Raw genomic sequence first — 4832 nt, forward strand, 5'->3', positions numbered from 1 at the left:
GGCTTCTCCAAAATGAATTTCATCTCTGTTACACAGTCTGTATTTTAAACCAACCCATCTTAAATGAATTCCTCTCAAGTGTGATGGAATATCGCCTAGGTATTTTTGTATGATATGGTAACAGAGACAAATAGATAGAAACTTCATTCTATTTACATAAAATAAAAGCATATGCTTTTATATTTATAGATACTTTCTGTAAAGAAAAATAAGACCCTACTAATAGTAGGTACCCTTTGGCAATGGGATAAAATGTTGGCATAGAAGGTGAAAAAGTAGAATTTTCTTTTTCACTTCTATATCTTTTGAAATTTTAAATCCTTGAGTCTATATTCTTGATTTGTTAATTCTTTATTCAACAAATATTTATCAAGCATATAATGTGGGCAAGGTGCCTACTTGGCTAGACCAAAAGATAACTATCATTCAGCAGAAAATATAATTTCAACAATAAAAATCATTTAGTGTGCATGGACACTGGAATGTATGAGAGGAGAGGAAGAAATCCCAGGATACGAAGAACAAGATTCTAAATTCAGTTTAGCAGAAGTTCCAGAAGCCAATAGATGTTAGTGAATATTTACCTGCTGCCACTGATGTGGGGTAGTAGCTTGAATTTCTTCATTCACCCTTCACAGTGACATGGAATGTCAGGCTAGCATCTAGCCTGTGCTAGACCACATGCTGGATTCTTCTTTTGACCTAATGGAGTAAGGGGCCACCTGCTGCTCCAAGGAGGCAGGGGGACTCATGGTTCTCCTGCAACCAAACCCTGCTATTGCGTCTCCTTCAGCTTTACTGGGAGTTTTCACCTCCTGCAGATTCTCAGCACACAGGGCATACATACTATATCAGCTGGATTTACACTTTTCTTTTCCCCTAGAATAACACACAGAGGGGAAGGTCAAACTCTCATTCAATGGTGCCTTTTCCCATTAAATCCTCACAGCAGGTGTGCAGAGGAGCTCAATATCATCCCTCCCAGCCACACTTAGTGGTCACTTCTGCTTCTCAGCCTGCATGTCCTTGCTATCTGAACTCCTCTTCTCCTGCTAAAGCCCCTGCCTAGAGTTCTCTTCAATTTGGGAAGAAAGTTGTATTATTTGTATATTTTGAAAATAGCTTAAATTAAGAAAAATCCTGAATTAATCTTTATAGAAATTCTGCAGATGTACTTTGTTTCTGTGTTGCCTTGTCCACTGGTCTCACTGAAGCCACTTCACAATAATAATAACAGCTAACATTTAATGAACACCAATTCAAGCTTTGCATGTATTAACTCATTGAATACTCACAACAACTCACTACAGTAGTACTAATTTTATCCGCATTGTTCAGATGAGGAAATTAAGGTATTGAGAGCTTGAGTCACTTGCCAAAGAGCATACGTGACTTGCTATAAAGGGCAGAGCCGGGATTTAGATCCCATCCATCAGACTCTAGAGTCTGCCTTCTTAACTAGTATACACTGCTTCTTCTTATCCAAAAATTAAAAAGAGATTTTTCTAAGAATAAAAAATAATGAAGTGGACTTTAGTTCATTGCAGGTTTTCAAAGTAAAATTTTGGCCAGCTAGTTTCTATTCCACATTGGTTAAAATACAATGACATATATATTACAAACAAATTAGTAATAAAAAAAGATCCCCAAATCCTGCACAGGGGTGCAGGACAGTTGTCTCGGTGAACCTGGTTTGTGAAATTGGCACAGAGAGAAGGGTCTGGTCTGGCAGAATCATGGCTCTAGGGCAAAGAAAGATGGGCAATACCACCCATACCCAGCCCAGAGGAGAGACACCAACCTGGGGCAACAGGGGCTGTACATGAAGCTGAATGATCTATGGAGAAGAAAGGGTGATGAGTGGGATGTAGAAACAGGATCTTGCTATGTTAACCAGGCTGGTTTCTAACTCCTGGCCTCAAACAATTCTCCTGCCTCAGCCTTCCAGAGTGCTGGGATTACAGGCATGAGCCACCATGCCTGGCCTGGAACTTAGCTTCTTACTGGGAGAAGGCCATCCAATAGAAACTATAAACAACAAACTGTCAAACTGTATAGTTTGTTAGGTAGTGATCAGCAGTATATAGAAAAATAAGACAGGAGAGAGGAATAGGAAGTTCTGGGGCAGTCAGGGAAAGGAGGTTTACAGTTTAAAATAAGGTTGTCAAGGAAGGGAAGGAACCACCGAGAAGAGGACATTAGAGCAAAGGCATGAGGAGGTTAGGGAATAGACCACATGGTAATTTGAGGGAAGAGCAGTCCAGGCAGAAGAAACAGCAAGTGAGAGGCCCTGAGAAAAGAACATACCTGGAGGGACCTGGGAATCACAGGGAAGCAGAATGAAGAAGGCAGAGAAGGATGGGAATAGTAGGAGATAGGTCATGAGGTTAGAACAAAGGAGTGGAGAAGTATAGTTGTGTGTGTGTGTGTGTGTGTGTGTTTAAGGGTGGGTTACATAGGGCACTTTTGGCCACTGTAAAATAATTTTGGGTTTTTCTCTGATGTGTGATGGGTTTTGAGTAAAGAATGACAGGATTGGACTTAATTTTTGACAGCACCACTCTAGTTGCTGAGTTGAGAATAGAGGCAGGCAGCAGAAAGTGAAAGCAGGGAGACCAGCAGGAGGCTACTGCAAAAATGCAGGTGAGAAATGATGGTATTTGGATCAAGGTGGTGGTAATGATGATGGTGAAGAGAAGTTAGATTCTGGATACGTTTTGAAGCTACAGTCAACAGGATGTGAGTGATGAAAGAAAGATTCAAGAATAACCCCAAACTTCTTCTGGCCTAGGCAACTGGCAGAATTCACTTGCCATTAACAGAGGTGGAAAAAACTTCATAAGGACTAGGAGAAGAGGGGATGATCAGGAAGTTGATTTAGGAATATTAAATTGGAGGTGCCAATTAGACTTTAGAGTGGAATTAACAAGTAGGCATTGTATACAAGAGTTTCTGTAGTTTGAGTAAATGTCTAGGCTGAGGACATAAATTTCTAAAGACTAAGGGCATATAGATGGCATATAAAGCCATGAGGCTGGATGAGATCACAAAGGGAGTAAGTCCATACAGAGAAAAACAAGGTGTCCAAGGGCTGAGTGCTGGTGCCTTTCACAATTAGCAGTCAGGGAGATGAAGAGGAAGCAATGAAATAACAAAAAAGGAACCATCAGCGAGGTAGAGAAAAATGTGGGATGTATTATTCTGCTGACACTTGAGTTTATTGCTAATTTGAGTATTAGACTTCTACATGATTCATATATTGATAATGTAAATCAACAACTGATTCTGAACTCCATCTGATTTTTTTCATCTGCTTTTAAAAAAGCAAATATGACAAAAAGACAAGGTGAGGCAGAGCCTATAGCTAGAAAGCACTCAGTGCTCATAGATGAGTGGGGAAGAGGGACTGACAACAGAACATTTGAATTTGCAGGTGCCTCAGAACATCCGGGAGTATGATTGCTATAGTTGTAACATAGAAGAGAGTCATTGTAATCACAGGCAGCAGAAACATCGGGGCAGTATTGAAATTGTGAGTACACATGATTAGGAGATCAGATCTGAACTAAGAAAATTCAGACAGAAATATTTTTATTTAAATAATAAACGATAGATATCTAGGTATAGGAAATATCTGGATGCTTTACAGCTTCTCTATTTTCATATCGATGGTGTGGGTTTGCGTACATTATGTCATCCTGAATTAAGAAGCTTGAATGATGTTTGTTTTTGCTGTTTTTTATTTAATGGATGTTAGTAAACATCTTTTTTGGTGTAGAGAAATGCTATGGATAAATAGGAAAAATAAATTACCAGAAACAAAATCTCAGTATCCTTTGTTATTTACGTGATTATAGAATTGGTAAATTATACTATTTTAGGAATACATTCTTGTTATTTGTTATTCTTTTCACAAATAGCCTGTTTTCTCCATACTTTTTCCATCTAGACATGTACCTATTCAGCTCTTTAGAAGGAATTAAAATAATTTTTTGATGTTTCAGGACAAAATACTCCTACTAGTTTGGAGGAGAACTGGGAGCTAAAAATAATCTAATTGGCAACCTTTTGAGAATTAAATAAAAAATTCTCATCTCTCCATTTCCACTGTCTAAAAAACAAGTCTCAAGGATTTCATTAATGTCTAAAGTTTATTTTCACATTTTATTTTTATTTATTTACCTATGATTTATTAAGGAAGTATATTTTAGCTTAAAGATTCTACAAAGTAATACCAATAACAAACAGACTTTAACCTCAGTGTGGTTCTTGGCAATGCAGGCTGTCTATAATATATAGTAGGAAAATTGGCTAAGAGATTCATCAAAACTTATTCATACAAAGCAAATAGTAAGCAGGGACCAGAGATTCTGACTTCCCTGTTATAGAAAAAGTAAGACTTGCGAGAAAGGTGGGGGAAAAAAGAAAAAGAAAAGTAACACAGCCACAGCATATAGTAATCATACTAATAGTAATTGCCATTGTTTGTGTGTCAGGAACTGTATTTGAACTCTGTGCACGTTATTTTTAATCCTTATACAATCCAACAGGGTAGCTATTATTTTATCTTTTCTAAAGATAAAGAAATTGAGGCAGATAGATTAAGCAATGTGCCCAAGACCACATACATAATAGGTGACAGAACTGAGAAATGAAGCTGCTCTACTTCATTTCAAAATAGGCTCTATCATAGATCGTTTTTCTGCATCACACTACTTCTACAATACATTGCTTCTTAAAACAATGTAATTATTCAGACTTTTTGTGATCCAATTTTTTCTTTACTCAATGTGTAGGGAGTCAGAAATCCAGACTTGAAAACCCAGCTATAC

At 37.7% G+C, this 4832-nt stretch overlaps 1 annotated feature.

Annotated features, from left to right (window-relative positions):
- Nucleotides 644–1161: an enhancer, noted in NCBI's record as "OCT4-NANOG hESC enhancer chr1:77730892-77731409 (GRCh37/hg19 assembly coordinates)". NCBI's record gives its function as "activates a minimal SCP1, AML or CMV promoter by ChIP-STARR-seq in primed H9 embryonic stem cells {active_cell/tissue: H9 hESC(primed)}" and the evidence as "EXISTENCE:reporter gene assay evidence [ECO:0000049][PMID:30033119]".

Source organism: Homo sapiens, chromosome 1 (genome assembly GCF_000001405.40).
Source record: "Homo sapiens chromosome 1, GRCh38.p14 Primary Assembly".
Taxonomy (NCBI): Eukaryota; Metazoa; Chordata; class Mammalia; order Primates; family Hominidae; genus Homo; species Homo sapiens.